The sequence below is a fragment of the Homo sapiens genome, chromosome 5 (assembly GCF_000001405.40).
Source record: "Homo sapiens chromosome 5, GRCh38.p14 Primary Assembly".
Lineage (NCBI taxonomy): Eukaryota > Metazoa > Chordata > Mammalia > Primates > Hominidae > Homo > Homo sapiens.
Window position 1 is genome coordinate 88,681,365 of NC_000005.10, and position 17,690 is coordinate 88,699,054.

A 17,690-nucleotide genomic window follows, 5' to 3' on the forward strand; every position below is an offset into this window, starting at 1 on the left:
ATACATTTACATATATATCTTCTGCGACATGGCTTCGGTTGTTGGCTTATGTTGGGGAAGGTAAGAGGTTGTGAAGGCATGGCAGGTCTGATGAAAGCTCAGCAAGGTTGGGGATGGCAAAAAAGCAATTCATGTATTCCAGATTCACTTTCTCTTATCTAGTCTTTTCTGTAATAGCATATAGCCATTTCATATGGGAAGGAGATGTGATGTTGGTCCCAGCAGCGGGTAGAGGAGGGGGGAACCTCAGCTTCCATTATGCCCCAAGATGCCTTCTTTTTCCCCTTTTCAGGTTCTGAGGCTCACTTGGGCCTAAGAAACCTGGCTGAGTGTGATTCTTATACTAACCTGCTCAAAAGTAAAACATATTCCCTTTCCTCGAAACACTGGGGTATCGGAGCTAATTTCATTCCTTAAGATTTCTATGTAAAATATTGCTTATTAACAAACCTCAGAACTAAAGGCAGTTTTTTTCCATTCAAATTTCAAGAGTTCATTTTGGAAATTATTTTTCTTAGCTTTACATACCGGTTAGAACTAGGGTCTAAAAGATTTTGCCTGGAAGGTGGGAGAGCTTATTAGGACTAAATTTTTGTCTTCGTTCTCTACAGTCACAAAAGTTTGCTAATTCTGTTTTATTTAAATACAATTGGAAGCTTTTAGTGTCTCTAAAGCCAGGAGTTTTAGGTCAGGTCCCCCTCTCTCTCCCTCTTAAAAAGAAATCACTAAAAGGCCCAGGAAACCTGTATTTCAACTCTGTTCTGCAAGTATTTTTTTTCTTTTTAAATTTTCTTACAAGTGGATTTGACTGTGTCCTGATAATACAGGAATTCACATCGAAGAAGAGACTCTTAGCAGTTTGTATGATATACAAATAAACCTATATTATTAATAATAAAATTGGGCTTTATCCTACTGGCATTTTTTCTTGGCAAATCCTGTTTCCCACTGCATTTCAAAGTCAGCTTTCTCCTTATAAAAATGGAAACATTCATAGCACAGGAAAATATTTATTAAAAAATTACACTGGGCACACAACAAGCACCCATCAACAAAACCCAGTTCAGAGGTGTCTTTGGGTATTTAAAGCACCTTGATAAATGCAGGGGTTGATTTTTTTTTCCTTTCCTTTTGGCTTTTTAGGATGTAGCTTTATTTGTGACTCCAAAATCTTAGCTAGAAAGGACTCTCATTGTTTGATATTCTTTGGTTTTACTAACTAAAAAATGTTGATTTGACATTAAAGAAGATAGAAAAATAGAATTTCTGTTTCAAAAATTGTGGAATTTCTCTTCATGCTAGTCATCCCCAAAGCATTAGTGTATTAAACTCTAGTAGAAGGAATGTTTACTGTTCAGTACAGAAAATTAGGCCAGCAAAATAATTTTTTATTTCACATTAAATGTGAATAAGCATATTCATAAAGGTAATTTGTATATGGGTGTTATCGTGATGACTGTGTGAAGTAAGGGAGGAGACAAGGCTTACAAGGCTTTCTGTTTAGGTCTCCCTCAATATATTTTTCTTTTCATTCCTCTTATTTAACAAGAAAGTCAAGGAATAGAAGACAGGCTAAATTGTCATTAGACTGTGTCTGTGTTCTTTGTCACGCCTGCCTTTCCTCTGGACTGCCTGGGAGGATGTGTGTGCTCCTTTCTTGCTTCTTGAGTAGCAGGGAGGAAGGAATGGATGCAAGGATGTGAAGATTGATCAGAAAGGCACATTATTGCACGTGAAAATGAGATGGATACATTTGACACCTGGCTAAATTTCAGCCAGGTGGTTGTCTTGCGAGAGGGGCTTGTGTGTGGAAGCTAGCAGGCCGACTGAAAAAAGTGGGGGGAGACAAGAGGCTTCCTTCATCTGGAAATCCGCAGGATCTTACTGACATTTGGCTTCAGGGAGTAGAGCTCCAAGGACACCTGTGTGCATCTGCCTGGAGATAGGTGTGTGTGTGTTGTGTGTGTGTGTGTGTGTGTGTGTGTAGGGAGAAGTAGGCATTTCATCAAAAATACATTTGAAAAATGTTGGTTCTAAAATTCAGTCGTTATCAATTCGGGCCAGGTACCAAAGTCACTAACGTGTCCAGGTTAACTCCTGGAAGGCAGCAACATTCTTGCTTTTGATGGTACGAATATGGCTTCTTTCATTTCTTTGGCTCTTTATGGTACTTCTTTTGAGTGGGGCGAGGCTCTAGCTTTCCCCTCCTCCTTTCTTGATCTCGGCAAACAAAACCATTCTACCACTTGAGCCATCTGCCGCAGGTGTAATGGATGGCAGGGGGCCGACCTAACCACACTCCAGTCTCTTCTAGGTCGTCACCGCTCTGCACCAAACAAATGAGTCCTGTTTCACCACTAGGGTGCCGAGGTGGATGGTGGATGCTGGCCCCCGCCCCTGGCAGCGCTCAGCCCTTAGAAACCAGAGCCAGCTGACAACACGCGAAACACACAGGCACAGCGAAAACGCCGAGCCGACGCTCATTCCCTCTGCCCCCTCCCTCTGCTCTCTGTAACAAGGAGGACACGTACACAGCCTTTACACACTTAAAAGCCCTTGCGACTCCCTCTGAATTCTTAGTTACTTATGACGGCCTTCCTCACTGCACATAGCCCCTGGGGTGTGTGTGTGTGTGTGTGTGTGTGTGTGTGTGTATGCGCGCGTGTGTGTGTGTACGCGCGCGCGCGCACGCGTGAATGTGCATGTGTGTTTAAAACGCTTATTGGTAGGTCATCAGCAGCTGATCAGACATGGTAATCCAATAATTTTTTTGAATACACACAATTTTTCGTTGAAGTTAATTTTTTTAAAGAAAAATGGAAAACTATTAATTTTCTGCGCAAGTCTAGGGTTCCCAGTTTAGGTTCCAGAGAACAGCAGATCTGCGCAGCCCCCGCCTTACCAAACTTTCCTTTTCTAGGGTTTGAAAGAGGCTCACATTCTCACTTCATGACAGAGCAGCGGCTCATTTGCACGCGGGTGTGTAAAGGAGGGAGCTGTCGAACGCGCGACTTAGGAAGGGAAATCGGATAGCTGGAGCCCCACGCAGTCGCTCGGAACCTTGGCTGGAGGCACAAGGTGCCCAGGGGCAAGAGCCCGGGGTCCAAGCTTCCAGGCGCACATCATCCTCTGGGCCCCGGGCCCTCCGGCTGGAGCACTCCCTCACCCGCATCCCATCCCCGTTCCATTTTGATCATTATTTGAATAGCCCAGGTAAGGGTGCCCATCTCTCGGCTATGGGCGGGGGCTGGACCCTGACAGGTACGGACTCCGCGGGACCCCAGTGTGCTTACCTCGAGCGAGGCCCTGGCAAATGGTGGCCCAGAAGCATCAAGTTTCCTCTCCCAGCCGTTGTGCCAGATTTCCCCTCCTGCCTTCTGCTCCTCTCCGCCAGCTCGTTTCTCTCTCTCTCTCTCTCTCTCTCTCTCTCTCTCTCTCTGTCACACACGAGGATTACTTGTGACTTTTAGAGGCAAAAGCTTGCTTATTCAGAGGAGAGAGGGAGGGGGAGAGGGAGAAAGGAGGCGGGAGGGAGGAGAGACGGGGGAGAGAGAAGTAAAAGGGGGATGGAGGATGAAGAGGAGGTGGAGAATCAGAAGGTAGTGCGGGCGTTGTTAGAGAAGGAGGAGGAAGAGGAGGAGGAGGAGGAGGGATGGGAGGGGTAGGGTGGAGTAACCAAAGATGGGCTGGGATGGGACGGCGAGGAATAAATTGCTCCCCACCCAGCTGCGGTGCGACGCCCCCAGCGTCCCAGGGGAGCCGGTGCGTCAGCTCACGGCTGGCCAAGGCGGGGCCGTACAAAAGCTAGCGCCGCGGGACCCCCTTCATGGGCTTCTACCCTAGCAGACCGAGCGCTGGAGGCCGCTCCACGCGCGAGCTCGAACCACGGAGGGCTCTCAGCTCGGACAAGCGTCGCTGTCTAAGAGCTCCAAGCTCCACGGAACTTTGATTTTATGCCCGGGAGCCCGGTCATCCACTTCTGCATCTCAGACAAGCGCCGGAGGCTCGTGCAGCTTCCTCGCGTCCTCTTCCTGGACGCGGGGCGCCCACCTTAGTCATAGCCCCTGGTCCCGGCACTGCTCACGCCGTCGGTTTCCCCACTGCCCAGGCTCCCTCAGCCCGAACCCTGCGTCTCTGTTCACATTGGAACACCCCCTCACCTCATCTCAGCTTGCTTTTACCGAGGTGTGTGTGTGTGTGTGTGTGTGTGTGTGTGTGTGTGTGTGTGTGTACATAGCGCGCGCGCTCTAGGCTAGAAAGAAGGTAACGAAAAAGTAGCTTCGGTCTCCTGCAGCTTGGATCCCACTACCAAGTCCGACCATATTCAGTATTTGAGATTACAGTTTGCAGCAAGGACCAAGGCAGGGGTTCACCGGATCATTTCAACTGAGTTTCAATGCAGCAAGGATTGTTTATCATTATTGCTAAGACTGACAAAAATAGGCCAAAAATAAAGAACAGTTGCATAGAAAGAAGGGACAGCATTTTAGCAGTGATCAGGAACTAAAAGTGTTTGGAATGGATTTCTCGAACAAGAGCATCCACGATGGATAAAGGTGAAAGCCGCAGACTCTCACAAAACCGTTTCAGTACGTGATGGGATTAAAAAATAGGACCATGCTTTTCAACATAGACTACCCATTAGTTCTCCGTTAAATGCACTAAACCAGCCCCATGGAATGATTACATGGCAGCCTTTTAATGTACAAACACGAGGATTCTAAAACGGATGCACACAACCCGTTTATAGAACTCCCTCTGTACACACACACACACACACACACACATTCATAAAGAGACAAAGTTTTAATACCGATACCCCACACTTGTAAATACATATTTTCTCAAACAACTACCCCTAAATACAGTAATTTTCTTCTCCATTTCCTTGCTGACCTGTGCGACATTATATTTAGAGAGTAGGCTCCCAGGATCGACATAATTCTACTTACATTCATTGTGGATGGCACGTCATAAAATGCCAGGGGGGAGGGAACCTTGAGGGGCGTGGAGAAGAAGCCTTTTATTAACAATTATATTCTCCCTTAGCAGTTTAAATAATAACAATGATGTCACGGTAACCATCTCCCTTCTCCCACTCCAGTGAAACCACTAGATGGGTTGGTGAACTGTACATTTGTATACTTAATTAAGGGATTACTGTTGCTACACAGTTACAAAGGTGGCATAAGGAATCTCTGAACGGTAGATTGCGGGACATTTGGCATGTTGTAGGACTCACTTACCTGCCAAATCTTATTTCAGAATAAGAATGATAAAATGTTGTTAGTTTGTGCCCAGCATAGTTTTGAAGGAAAATGGAACAAAAAGAAGTTGCTCCTTGAAAATTATGTTAGTTGTAGGAAAAAAAAATCCTCTCAGCGGAACGAGCCGGTTACGCACTGTATTAAATGAGGATCATATTTTACCAACCCAGGTGGTGTTTTAAAAATTCTTTCAGGCAACAGTGATAAGAGAGGAAGCAAAGAGCACGCAGACCCCCGCCCAGCCCGCACCCGTGTTCCCAGTGTCTGGAGCACACACTCTAAACACATCGGGACCCCCACCCCCATGAATTCGCCCTGTTTGAGACTCAGTTTCTGAGGCCAAGAGTTCGTTCTCGGTGGATCGCTACACGTTGAAAAATGGATATTTGTGTAAGGTCAACATTCAGGCTATAGTACGATGGCATGGTGGAGAGAAAACACTTTTCATTGTTTAACAGTTACTAAATAATTAAACTGCCCTGCATATTGAATATCATTTTTGAGAGTTTCCCTTTTTTTCTTTAAAATTATTCGCCAGTGTTTTAATGAGGCCTCAGGATTGGGTTGCACGGAGGAAAGTGAGGGGTTCAATAAGGTACAGCTTTGATATACAGAACAATTATATAAAAGAAAGTAATTTATTATTGAAGAGGACAAAAGAAATTTGGGTTTATGTTTAAGTAGAACTTAGCAGTTGCAAAACTATGTTTTAAACAGACAATTTGATAATTTGCCTTTCTTTTTTCCCCTCTTAAACCATTTACAACCTGGGAAATTTACACTTGTTAACTAGTAAAACACCTGAAGGCTTGAATTAGACACCAAGTAGCCGCTGATGTCCCAACAACGTACAACCTGCCCCTCTGGAAGGTGTGGAATCTTTTATAAGTACTCAAGAAAAGCCCCCAAAGCTCAACTAGGTTCTATGGTGCCGGCACTGAGGAGTGTGCTTTAAGGTTATCAGTCTTATAAGCACCACGTGATTAGACAGGAAAGGTAACTTGAAAACACAACCTGATTCTGAGCGAAATCATTTTGTCCTGTTGGCATGAAAATGTAGTTACACCTCCAAGTTCTGCTCAGGAACAGACGGCTGCGTGTGGGGGCTGGTCCCTACCCAGATCAGTACAGGATCTTCAGCTGGCAGACGAGATCCAGCAAATGGAATTCACGAAGAAACTCATGTGCGTTTGGAAAAAAAGGTGGGGGAGAGTGCTGCTTCCTGATTCCTTTCGCTGAGGTCTCCTGTGATCATCAATGGCTTTGGCAACAGCAGGGAAGGCAAAAATAATTCACCACCAAACAGTTTTGACCATGACATATTTAATGGGGCTAGTTTGAACTTTGTTTTTAAAAATTTCCTGGCAGATGTTAGTATTCTCCCTGCTTATCTCTTACAATATATTTTTTTAAATGTCATTTATAGGTAGCCATTGCATGGCATTGTGCTACAGTTAACACACAGGTACTGGGGCACTTCAGGCCCATGTAAATATCCAGTGTAAAGGATTCACCAGCTTTCCTGGCAGCAGCCTCTGCAAATGGAAGCTACTCCAGAAAGAGACATTTTTATTTGTATAGTTGTTACTCAAGTCGTTATAGGTGTGAGTTTTGGGCTGAATTCACGAGTCCAAATTAAGAAGTCTGGATACATGACACATCACCTGTAAATAACCATGTAGACACCAGCCTCTTTTGCCACAACTCTCCAAATGTTTGTTTTAAATCTTCTTATCACCTTTAATGAGTGCTCCTTTTAGAACTCAACTCAGAGACTCAAATTTAGTCTTTGAATTGGTACTTTAAAAACTATTCTCTTTTATCATTTAAAAGTAAGCCTACTCCCAAAATTGAGCGTTTCACTTTTAAGGCTCAAACACTTCCTTAGGTCTCTACAAAAGTCTCTTAGGTCTCTTCAAACCAGCCCTTAGCATCAAATTCCATCATGGCAGTAATTTGGTACTCACAAGTAAACTGACAGTTTGGAGAGGGAGATGTTATCATTTCTCAGTTTTCTTTTGTATCTAATAAAATGGAGACTGACTGTATGAAATTCCCTTCCAGAGCTTACCAAAATTGTTTTTTAAAATTCTCCTGGACGAGAGCCCCGTGGTCTTGCAGCTTAGAAGGGGTTCGGGGGGCTCCGTTTGGCTAATTTTTAGAGAACTGCTTGGCGGAGGCTGCTCGCAGGTAACGCTTCTGAGATGAAGGCGGGGCTCCCTGTCGCCTGCAAGGGTATTTTACCTAGAATGTCCTGATTTTGGGTCCAAACTCACACTCTCCCACACTCGTGGGGTGATAGGTAGGCTAATAAAAGGCAAATAGTAATCAGAAGGGAGCCCCACAGTTTCTACCAGAGGGGTTTTGGCCAGAAAACAAAGAGAGCAGGGGCTGCTCACTCCTCGTCCCCTGCGCCTGAAATTCAGGTCGCCTGCAGCTACGGCCTCAGGTGAGTGGCTCAGGGAAGGGTCGCTGAGGCTCTTCCCAGGGCCCCCGGGCCTCTCTTGGGCCGCTCCCTGGGAGTGCTTTAACCTCTGCCGCCATTCCGCTTCGTCTTTTCCTGCAATAACACCTGCTGCCACGGATTGAGTACACCTGACCAGATGTAGTCAAAATAAAAGGTCAAGAAAAGAAAAGGAAAGCCCCACCTTTCTTAATTCCGTTTGGAAAGAGCCAGAGCTGCCAAATCCATTACATAATGCCAGTTCAAGCTGACACCTGTGCCTGCCCTGGAGCTAGATCAGGTTCTGGCGACTGCTCCAACCTGGAACGCCGGCTCAGTAGCGCCCAAGCCGAAGGCGAAGGGGAAGAGGAACGAAGTGTGGGATGGGGGGCGGCCCCTCATTGGGGGTTCAGGTAGGGATTGGATTCTGCAGGGAATGCTCCAAGGGTTGCTCCCTAATAATTTGGGACTGCGATAAAAAAAAAATAGCCGCAGTTTCGAAGTCCCAGAGCTTTATCAGGAAGCATTGGACGCCCCTTTCTCCTCCAGACTGGGGCGGGCTTCCAGGGATGCCCCCTCCGACCCCGTCACCAGCGGAGGACTCATCTGCCGCGGGGCTGCCGGAAGCTCTCACTCCCGCCAGCCCCCTGGGTGCTATTGATGCGGACCTTGGAGGTGCCTGCGGCGTGGCCTAACACGTGGACGCGGCCCATAACCCGCCCCGGCTGCTGCTTTCGCCTGAAGGCGGACAATGGCTTTATTAATCGGCCATCATTAAACTAACCCAGGAGAAGCCCCATCCCGCAATGAGGGCGCGGCAGGCTAATTTTGCCTACGGCTGAACAGTTGGGGCAAACGGTGGTTAACACGCTGGATCCCTCTCTAGTGAAGGCCCGACCGTCCCGATCTTTGGGGTCCGCACCAATGATCCCATGAAAAACAAAGGTCAGTCCCCAAACTCCTAGGAATCCACACTGTTCCTCTCCAAACTTCCTGCTCCCCGCTAAGGCAAAAGACCCCGAGCCTTGTAAACCCTTTTGTCAGAACGCGAATTAATGTTTCCAAGATTTTTTCTCAAAAGAATTAAGAGCTCTAGAGGCGCCTCTTCCACTCACTAGGGCACCATGTCAAAGGGACTCGTCATGGCGATTTACAAATATCACGATCGTGGACAGCGCTATTGGAATGTAACTTGGGCTTGGTTTCATGCAGTCCTTAAGGATTTCGTTGAGGCCCTGGAGACGTGACTAATTCCTCCCAGTCCATAGTGGGAAATGCTTATTGGGCTTTGGTTGAGATAAAATAAAATAAAATAAAAGCTAGACCCAAAGCTTCGTGTGGACCTTAAACACACACACACACACACACACACACACGCACAATAAGCAAGAGTCAGTGACCTTCTCTGGACATCGCAGCCACCCCCCTAGCTCCCGCGTTAAAATCACCAGAGTCAATTCCCGGCGTCGGTCTCCACAGTCAACCCCCGCCCCTTCCCCATTTCTCATCAAAAGGCAGGAGAAACGTCATATTTTATATTTCTTTTCTCCACATCTGGGCATTTTCTTGTGCATCATATCCTAAACAAATATTCTCCTTTTACATTCGTGTGCGCCTAGGACGGTGTGGACCTGCGCCCCTCTTCCCCGTAGCGACCGTGTTGGAGAAACTCGCTCGGAGGACCAGTGTGCTGCGGGGGCCAAAACTCACGCTGCCCAGCCTTGAAGAGCTGGAGAACGGAGCCGGGCCCCGCCGAACCTGCGCTCGCAGAGAATGTTATCTTCACAGCAACTTAGCAAGCCCCACAGAACAAAAGTTAAAGCGTGATTGCACTATACCTTGCCCCGGGTTACTCAGGCGCCTGTCTCCCATTTTGGACATGCAGGAAATGTTGGATTTGGGGAGGTTTGATTTGGCTGGGTTTGGTTTGTCTATATAAGCCCTGCTGGAGTACTGTACTGAGGAACGCGCCTTGATGGACTCGGGTGTTAATTAACGCGCTAATTTGAGCTTCAGGAGCGGGAGGCGGCCGGTAGCACCGCGAGCCGCGAGGGGCCAGTGACCTCTAGTGGACATGAGGAGATATGCAGCGCGAGTGAGCGTGTAGCAGAGAAAACTCTTTCCTGAGCAGCTGCTCGCGTGTCTCCTCTGAATCCAATGCAAGGGAGGGACACAAGTCCCCAATTTAAGGGAGAAAGAGCCGTCAGCAAGTGGTGTCGACCAAAGACCTTAGCTCTTCTGATGTATCTGAAATCTAAACGCAATTTAAGCGCGCGTGCACACACACATTGTTACTTATCAGTTTTTCCAGCGAGAGAAGAACATATGGAAAGGGTTTGAGAAGTGAGCGTGAATAACTTTGGTTTCTGAACCTAGAGAAAAGCAGGGCTTTCAAAGCTCCGGAGGCACCAGCGATTCAGGGGAAGGAGTCGGAGTGTGATTCTGTAAACAAAGTTCATCAGTACTCCCAAGATTTTTTTTTTTTTCTGTAAAGAATTGAGAAAAAAAAAACGTAAAAAGCTTAGTTGGGTCAACAACAAGAAAGTAATCGAACAAATGATGTGTGGAAAGGTCCAGATGCTCCTGAGTTCACACCCCTCAGGCAAATAAGAAGACAAAAATAAGAACAAAAGAACCCCTTCGCTTAACAAAAATAAAATAAAGGCCAAGAGGAGAAAATGATCTGTTTTGGTTTTTTAACCTTCATTTATTTCATTGGTTAGTTAAACTACTGCAGAAATTTTTGGAAAGATCGTCCTGGTGCTTCTGCAAGCGCCAAAAGCAAACCATGGACCTGATAGTTCAGGCAGAATACCATTTTTTAAAATAAACCAAAGTCTGTATTTTATCCTTCCCCATTCCACAGACCGCAGCAGACTGTGGAAGCTGGCGAGGCCCAGTAGAATCCCGCGACCCCACAGCCTCAGCGCTCAGGGTTCCACGGTCCAGTACAGGCTAAACTGACCTCGCCGACGGCCGCGCCCACTTGGGCACTTCTCCCGGGTCTTGTTCTACGGGCGTTTGAGGATTTCTTAGTCTCTTTCTTCCCTGGCACTCTTCCTCCGAGGCCAGAAGTCTGAATTACTAGCAGCTACCAGCCGCTTGGAGCGGGAACGTGGAGGTGATCCCCTCCCCGGGAGTAGCCTGTCCGTCCCAGCTCTCCTCCCTTCTGTGCCTGGCGGTTTTGCGGTACCCGAATCTGTCCTCAAGGGTTGGGGGAGGGGTGGATATGGGGGGATCAGAGACATTACCTTTTCCCAAACTGTGAGCACAGCCCGCTTGGGGTTGGTTTCACATCGCTCAGGACTGGGGTTCCACGCCTGGAGCGCAGTTACCTTGTTGCGCCCGCATGTGCCTCGGGAAGTGCATCTGCGACCCTAGGTCGGGGACCACCGCGTTAGTGAGGGACAGCCGAGTCGGGGGGCAGTCTCCCCTGGTGGACAGTATGAAGTTTGGACAGCAGGGGAAGGAAGAGAGGAACTGGAGGTTGGGGGAGGCTAGAGAGCAACGTTTGCTCTCTGAACTTTTCCTTCTCCCCTTTGCGCCTTCTGAAATGGCCTGGGAGTTAGCAGAGGTCGGGAAGCTGCTGTAAGAGCGAAACGTTGCCCCACTTGGCGGTGTCCAGGTCTCGCAGTAGGCTCGGGTCACAGGAGGGAGGGGGTAGGGGTTCAGCTCCGCCGAAAGAGTTAGCTACCGTCCCCTCCTTTCTCGGCCGGAGACGTTAAGAGTTCCCGGTGAATGACACCGTCCAGGGTCAGAAGTCAGTGGTGGCTATACTCGGAATAAGGCTGACAGTTCGCAGTGAGGGAAAACGTGTAACCTGGCAGGATGAGGAACACGCAATGAAAATGAACCCAGGGAAACCAAAGATTTCTAAGAGCTGTATTTTATTGTGGTCCAAAGAAAGGACTGAGAGCTGCTTAAGGGAAACAGCATTTATAAAGCCCAAACATTAAATATATATTGCAACAGAAATACAATCTTAATGGAGATAACTGAATTGTAATAGTTTAAGAAACGGTCTTTTCAGAAAACTAAACAGTGAGCAAAACAATGTTCAATTTTAAAACGCCCAGACGTGACTCACACACAGCAACCGCCTATGGGAGAGCAGTAGTTTTCCTTGACCTTCCCTACACTGCGCCCCGGGAGTTCCCCGTAACCCCAGAGCAGAAAAATTCACCAACTTTGGAATCTAGTCAGAAAAACAAAACAAATAAAACCGTGCGGACCCCCAAGCAAGGATTCACTAACATTCCTACCGGCCTTGCTTAACCTCCATGCCCCCGGGAAGTGGCGCGAATCACTCTTGGCACCACTTGGGGCGCACAGAAAGGACCCACCTCCTGTTGGCCAGGCAACCGCACACCTGAGGCAAGAGGACCAGAAGTGGAGAACAAACTGCTCAAGTTCCAGCAGTCTCCAAATCAGAGTCCCTATTATCTTGGGCCCTTGCAAACTTGAGCACTCACCTTTGGCCACGTAGCTGCCCCTTTTCACCCTGCCAGCAGAAACAAAGTGAACGCTCTTCTTTTCTCTGTAAGCTGGAAATTACCAAGGGCATACTTGAGCCTACCAGGCCCCGAGGACCCCATTTCAGGCCCAAATGTGCCAGTTTTACCCTTGCTGAGAGTGCTCACTGCAGTCTTCATCAACCAACTTCTAAGTGGGTGTCAATGAGGAGCAGCCTCACGCTTTTTCTGCAGAGAGAAGGTAGAGAGAGATGAGGGCTTTCGGTGTGGCCCTGTGACCCCAGGCTACTATCCCAGGCTATGGCACGTCTTCGCCAGAAAAGCAGCGACCGAGTTATTTCCCTGTTGACAATGCCCAGCAGCCGGGCCCTGTTATTATAGGGGTTATTAGAGGGGTCGCCTTCTTCTCTAATGGTTCCTGTTCAGGGTTTTCCCCCAGTAAGATTTAGAAAAGACTGGACTAAAACACTTTACCTCCCAGAGTCTCTTAGAACATGGCCCCCGAGTCGTCTCCCCTACACTCCCCCTCCCACCCCTACCCTGTTGTCCCTCAGCTGATGGTGCGGATGGAAAGACTCAAAGACAGACAAGAACCCCCCACCAGCCCCCACCCGCTGGGAACAGGACCGACAATCTTTCCCACTTTCTTGTGGAAAATTTTCACACGTACACACAAAATCTGGAGTCCGAGATAATAGGTGATGAGCCGTCCTGGGAACGGTGTCGCAGGCTGAGGATGTCCAAGACCTGGCGAGTCTCGGGTCAGAGGAGCCGGAGGGGGCGACCCGAGGCCCCGCGCCCCGGCTCTGCGCTGGGGGGTGGTGCTGGCTATTTCTCTCTGCTCCCAACTATTACATTTCTTTTTTCCTTCATCTTGGCTAGAGTTATACGTTTTATGTGTGGGGCGATTTAGAAAATAAAATTGGACTATATAAGCTATTCTATATATAAAAAAGAACCCGAAAAGCCTCGCGTTTTTTCTCTTGTGTTTTCCTCACTTTTCTTTTTCTCAAACTGCAAAATTTTAGTGCCTGAATGGCGAATGGGGAAAAGGACTGGCCGGAGAGTGAGGCACGGAAGGGAGGTCTGAAAGTGAATTTTTCAATGCCTAGTTTACCCTTGATGTCGCATTCCATCTTAAATGGCCACTATGATGATAATCTGAGCAGTAATATTAGTCGATTTTCCTGCTCTACAGTGCGGCTTGGAGAAGTCTTGGGAATCAAACGGCATGAACTTAGATTCCTGTTACACAACTTTTCAATGAGGGAGGAGGATATCGAATACCTCACTCAGTCTTCGGGAATGGAGCCTTCAAAAACACTTTTGTGAGGCCGGGCGCGGTGGCTCACGCATGTAATCCCAGCACTTTGGAAGGCCAAGGCGGGCGGATCACGAGGTCAGGAGTTCAAGCCTTGCCAACATGGTGAAACCCCGTCTCTACTAAAAATACACAAATTAGCTGGGCATGGTGGCGCGCGCCTGTAATCTCAGCTACTCGGGAGGCTGAGGCAGGAGAATCGCTTGAACCGGGACCCGGGAAGCAAAGGTTGCAGTGAGCGGAGATCGCGCCACTGCACTCCAGCCTGAGCTACAGAGCGAGACTCCGTCTCAAAAAAAAAAAAAAAAAAGAAAGAAAAAGAAAAAAGAAAAAAAAAAAAGAAAGAAAGAAAAGAAAGAAAAAACCCTTGTGAGCCGCCTAAAAACCGTCCTGTGAGCATCTCATCCCCACACTGGCGCTGCCACCCGCACGGACCTTCCAACTTCGCACTGTTCCATTTTCTCTATGTGCTTTTCAGCCCATCCTTGGAGTTGCTCTGTAAGAAGGACTTTCGGAGTGAAACTCCACAGTGCGGTTCAAAGACACGCTTAGGATGCCCCGGGATGGAGAGAGGACTGAGCTTGGACTGGAATTCCTGGAACAGACGAGGGCTTGTGAGCTTGTCCCAGGCACTGAGGACAGCATACTCTTCCCGACAAGGGCATCTGGGTCGAGAGAAGGTGGAGCGGGTCTTCGGCAAAGGCGAAACCCTGGAGAACGCTGCCCCACCCCACCCTGTAAGCGTGGACGAGTAATAATCTCCCGGCCTCAGTTTCCACCCTCTGCTTATATCAATTTTAAGAAGCTTTATTTTTTCTAAGATGATTTTCCCTACATATTTCTTGTCTCCCTCACTGCCATTCCCGCCCCTCCCCCCCAAAATACATTGTAAATCTTTTTCCTCCTACGGTTAATTTTAAAGAACCACAAAAGTTTGCATAAGACAGAATTTACCTGCCCATATATTTCTGTTGAAGGTGGAAAATTGTTTTTACGTGGCAAGTTTTATTTCTATTGATTTCTAAAAATTTTATCTGGAAAGAATTTGGCTCATGAGCTAAATAATATAGTTACCATTTGCTTAATAATTTTTAAGCTCTAGGCATTGAGGTAAATGCTTTATATATTTTTTCTTAGTCTGAGAACAACCATGTAAAATAGGGTTTTTCCTTCTGTTTTTCTTCCTCCCTCTCTTCTTTCCAATTTGAAAACTGAGGCAGAGACATTAAATGGCTTTCACAAAGGTATAGAGCTAGTAAGTAGCAGAGGCAGAGTCTGAACACAACTACCAACCGCTAAGTGGAAGCTCTTAGCAGAGGTCAGCCGAGTTTTCAAGTGAGGCTATAACTGCTGAAGAGTAGCCCTTCAACCTATGGTACTTGGTTGCCCATTATAAAGGAAAGCTGTGTAGTAATTTGACTTTTTATACCTTAAGAAATAATCACGGCAAAAAAAAACCCTAAAAATAATCTTTAGCTGTTAAGCAATCATCATATTGCTAGTTGTAGTGCTGTTATTCATATTTTGCAACTGTTTATATATTATGAGATAAAGCAAGTAAGTCATTATATTGGTGTCTTACAGAACTGAAATTTTTCATTATAAGTAAAAAGGAGATACAGGTGGAAGATTATTGAAATCAAATAAAAATCTTATAGCCCTGGAAAGAAAAAAAAAGGAAAGCTATGGTTAAGAAGCAAGAGTAGAAGCTGTGAGTAGTTACTACCAGTACAGAAAGCTTGAAACAGACTTGTATTCCCACCCCAATCAATGCTTCTCACAGGAGCACATTGAATCCTCTGTTATGTTAATTCTGGCAATCTCTATGTCTTCTGGGTCCTACCATCAAACCTCTGAAAGCAATTCAAATATTTTGCCACTCCCTTTGACCATTTATTTTTTAAATCTGAGATTAGAATTGTGGAACACATAGTGGATTGATATAAAGAGGAAAATCAAGCACCAGGAATAAAGATTATAAAAGAGTTAGCTCCTTGAAGGTTGTTGGTAATAGACCAATCATGCCAACATAAAAAAATTAAATACTACTTTAATGAAATTTCATACTTTTAATAAATTACTTTCATCTTGTTAGTTCTGATCTAGAATATCTTTGTATTTAACATAAATGAGATAAAATTATAAAGAGATTCATCCTCTATTTTCCATTATAACATGCATAAAGTAAGATTTCAAAAATTTAAATAAATGTGTCAGAATATTCATGGAAAGTATTCAGCTGTGAGATTATGTACTTATTTGAATAAAGTGTCTTTTTACAATATATTTGGATTCTTCTATTTCTCCACTTCCTCCTTTTTTCCTCCTCTCTCATCCTCATTTTTCTCCTCCTCATCCATTTTCCCTTTCTCTTCCTCCCATTCATTTTGTCATTGGAATCTATTTCTGAGACACATGAGAAAATGAACCTCATTAGTTTATTTTTTCCTTAAAATGGTATTTTTGAAAAAAAAAAGCAGAAGATGTCACCTTCAACTGAGGATGATATGCCAATTTGAATAGCATATCCTCTGACTGTTGCAGACATTCAGAACTATGTGTGCCATCCCAAAGAAGGTCTTCAATGGCAGCTATTTTTTAAAATGTTGTTTTACAGTCACATTCGATTTACTATTAGATTATCCTCGAATTAAAATAGCTGATACCATAATACTAAATACTAACATTTTAAAGCTATTGTTATGATGTGTTTACCATTGCCATTACTTTTAAAACCAAGGAAAGCACAGTCTGGTAAGACACAATCAGCAGTGAGATACAATCACAACACCACATAAGAGAAATGTAATGTATCATAGCTAGCCCTAGAAAAATAACATTCATCTGCTTTGTAATCTCTCAGATTCGATTGCAGCAAGGAAATATTTATACTTTCATGCAAAAACACATGAGAACCACGGTTTAGAATGGCTAAAATTTTGAGCAAAAAATAGTTTTGTCTTCATCACGTATTGTGTATTGAGCTTTTTTTGTTTTTCTCCTTCATCAACAAACTTAGCTTACCTTTCTTCTAATCTTTGAGGGCCCTGCTCTTTGCTTCCCAAGGTAATGACTGGGTCATTTGATAAAATGAGCCTAGGCTAATGTATTGATGGTTATAAATGTGTTAATGTGCAAATCTTTGGCCACAATTCCTTCAAGCTTTTCAAATCAGATATGAATCTTAATGAACACGTTTGGAGGGAATACTCTTTGTTGTCTAACTTTAGTAAGGGGAACATAATGGTACTACATAAACTCACTCTTTTAAGGCTGGCCTGTCATAAATGCTTAAATACTCATCAGTGCAATTATGAAGAAAGCCCATTAGGGAAAGAATTGAAACCTAGCATATCTGGAACATAAGATAGCTGAATTTAAAAAAAATAGCTAAGACAGCTTTAAAATTTAGACAGTAGAAGACCCATTTATAATTCTTAGACATTAATTTTAAAAGATCATTCAATGACAATTTAAATTATTGGGCTTGTGCTAGAAAGAAGACTACTCTTCTCCTATGTTGAAACCACATTCACCTTTCTGTCCCCAGAACACTTGCTTCTTCCCTTTATAATTGGTGTTCTCTATGCCTGGAACACTTCCCACAGAAATTAACATGATTGCATGCTCATTGCATTCTCAGGAAGCATTCCTAGGCCAAACTAGCTCAACCCATTACCCCATCACTCTCTACCACATTTGTATTTTAAAAATAGAATCTGTAATAATCTGAAAGAGCTTTGTTTCTATATTCGTTTACACTTTTAAATATACTTCTATTACAGGAACCACCAAGAGGTCAGGGACTTTGCCTGCCTTACTCATTACACAGCAGATACTCAGTAAATATTGAATAAATGATTAAATATGTCTATTTGTGATATAGGTCATCTTTTGGATATCTCGATCATTAGCCATTCTTCATTTGTATATATTATGCATACAAAAAAAGCACCAGTTCTGTTTTGTTTTCTAGTAACAATACATTTCTTAACCAGAAGCTAAAGTGGTTTGGGATAAGGCAGAACCTGGTTTAGAAATTAATGCAGAGAAATAGCTAGTTGGAAAGAATACTTGCTACGTACACCATTTCTTTTAGAAGACAACTTGCTAGTAGCAAGGGATTGTGTTATGCATAGATTTTACAAAATATCAAGACTACAGTAATCACTGAATACTTGCATTCA

General features: G+C 45.1%; 3 long non-coding RNA genes across 9 annotated transcripts in view, besides 6 other annotated features; 1 reads left to right on the plus strand and 2 right to left on the minus strand.

Moving 5' to 3' along the window:
* MIR9-2HG (MIR9-2 host gene) overlaps positions 1-9,677 on the minus strand; it is a 152,776-nt gene extending 143,099 nt beyond the window's left edge. For 5 of the 7 annotated variants that reach the window (NR_152235.1, NR_015436.2, NR_152237.1 and 2 more), the window contains 1 exon segment: positions 3,294-3,461. This is a non-coding gene — a long non-coding RNA (MIR9-2 host gene). 7 annotated transcript variants of the gene reach the window in all.
* MEF2C-AS2 (MEF2C antisense RNA 2) overlaps positions 1-17,690 on the plus strand; it is a 46,614-nt gene that overhangs the window by 5,147 nt on the left and 23,777 nt on the right. The gene's annotated exons all lie outside the window — the stretch shown is intronic.
* Positions 3,268-3,892: an enhancer, noted in NCBI's record as "H3K4me1 hESC enhancer chr5:87980449-87981073 (GRCh37/hg19 assembly coordinates)". NCBI's record gives its function as "activates a minimal SCP1, AML or CMV promoter by ChIP-STARR-seq in naive H9 embryonic stem cells {active_cell/tissue: H9 hESC(naive)}" and the evidence as "EXISTENCE:reporter gene assay evidence [ECO:0000049][PMID:30033119]".
* Positions 3,893-4,516: an enhancer, noted in NCBI's record as "H3K4me1 hESC enhancer chr5:87981074-87981697 (GRCh37/hg19 assembly coordinates)". NCBI's record gives its function as "activates a minimal SCP1, AML or CMV promoter by ChIP-STARR-seq in naive H9 embryonic stem cells {active_cell/tissue: H9 hESC(naive)}" and the evidence as "EXISTENCE:reporter gene assay evidence [ECO:0000049][PMID:30033119]".
* Positions 7,913-8,591: an enhancer, noted in NCBI's record as "NANOG-H3K4me1 hESC enhancer chr5:87985094-87985772 (GRCh37/hg19 assembly coordinates)". NCBI's record gives its function as "activates a minimal SCP1, AML or CMV promoter by ChIP-STARR-seq in naive H9 embryonic stem cells {active_cell/tissue: H9 hESC(naive)}" and the evidence as "EXISTENCE:reporter gene assay evidence [ECO:0000049][PMID:30033119]".
* Positions 8,592-9,271: an enhancer, noted in NCBI's record as "NANOG-H3K4me1 hESC enhancer chr5:87985773-87986452 (GRCh37/hg19 assembly coordinates)". NCBI's record gives its function as "activates a minimal SCP1, AML or CMV promoter by ChIP-STARR-seq in naive H9 embryonic stem cells {active_cell/tissue: H9 hESC(naive)}" and the evidence as "EXISTENCE:reporter gene assay evidence [ECO:0000049][PMID:30033119]".
* Positions 9,827-10,053: a silencer, noted in NCBI's record as "fragment chr5:87987008-87987234 (GRCh37/hg19 assembly coordinates)". NCBI's record gives its function as "represses an EF-1alpha promoter that drives an FKBP-Casp9 reporter gene in an ReSE screen in HepG2 liver carcinoma cells, and both phorbol 12-myristate 13-acetate-treated (for megakaryocytic differentiation) and untreated K562 erythroleukemia cells {active_cell/tissue: HepG2 | K562 | K562(+PMA)}" and the evidence as "EXISTENCE:reporter gene assay evidence [ECO:0000049][PMID:32094911]".
* On the minus strand, positions 10,393-15,780 carry GSCAR (glioma stem cell association long noncoding RNA). The gene is made up of 3 exons (XR_007058863.1): positions 12,853-15,780; positions 12,183-12,410; positions 10,393-11,530 (listed from the first exon to the last, which is right to left on the minus strand). It is a non-coding gene; the product is annotated as a glioma stem cell association long noncoding RNA (long non-coding RNA).
* Positions 14,570-15,549: an enhancer, noted in NCBI's record as "OCT4-NANOG hESC enhancer chr5:87991751-87992730 (GRCh37/hg19 assembly coordinates)". NCBI's record gives its function as "activates a minimal SCP1, AML or CMV promoter by ChIP-STARR-seq in naive H9 embryonic stem cells {active_cell/tissue: H9 hESC(naive)}" and the evidence as "EXISTENCE:reporter gene assay evidence [ECO:0000049][PMID:30033119]".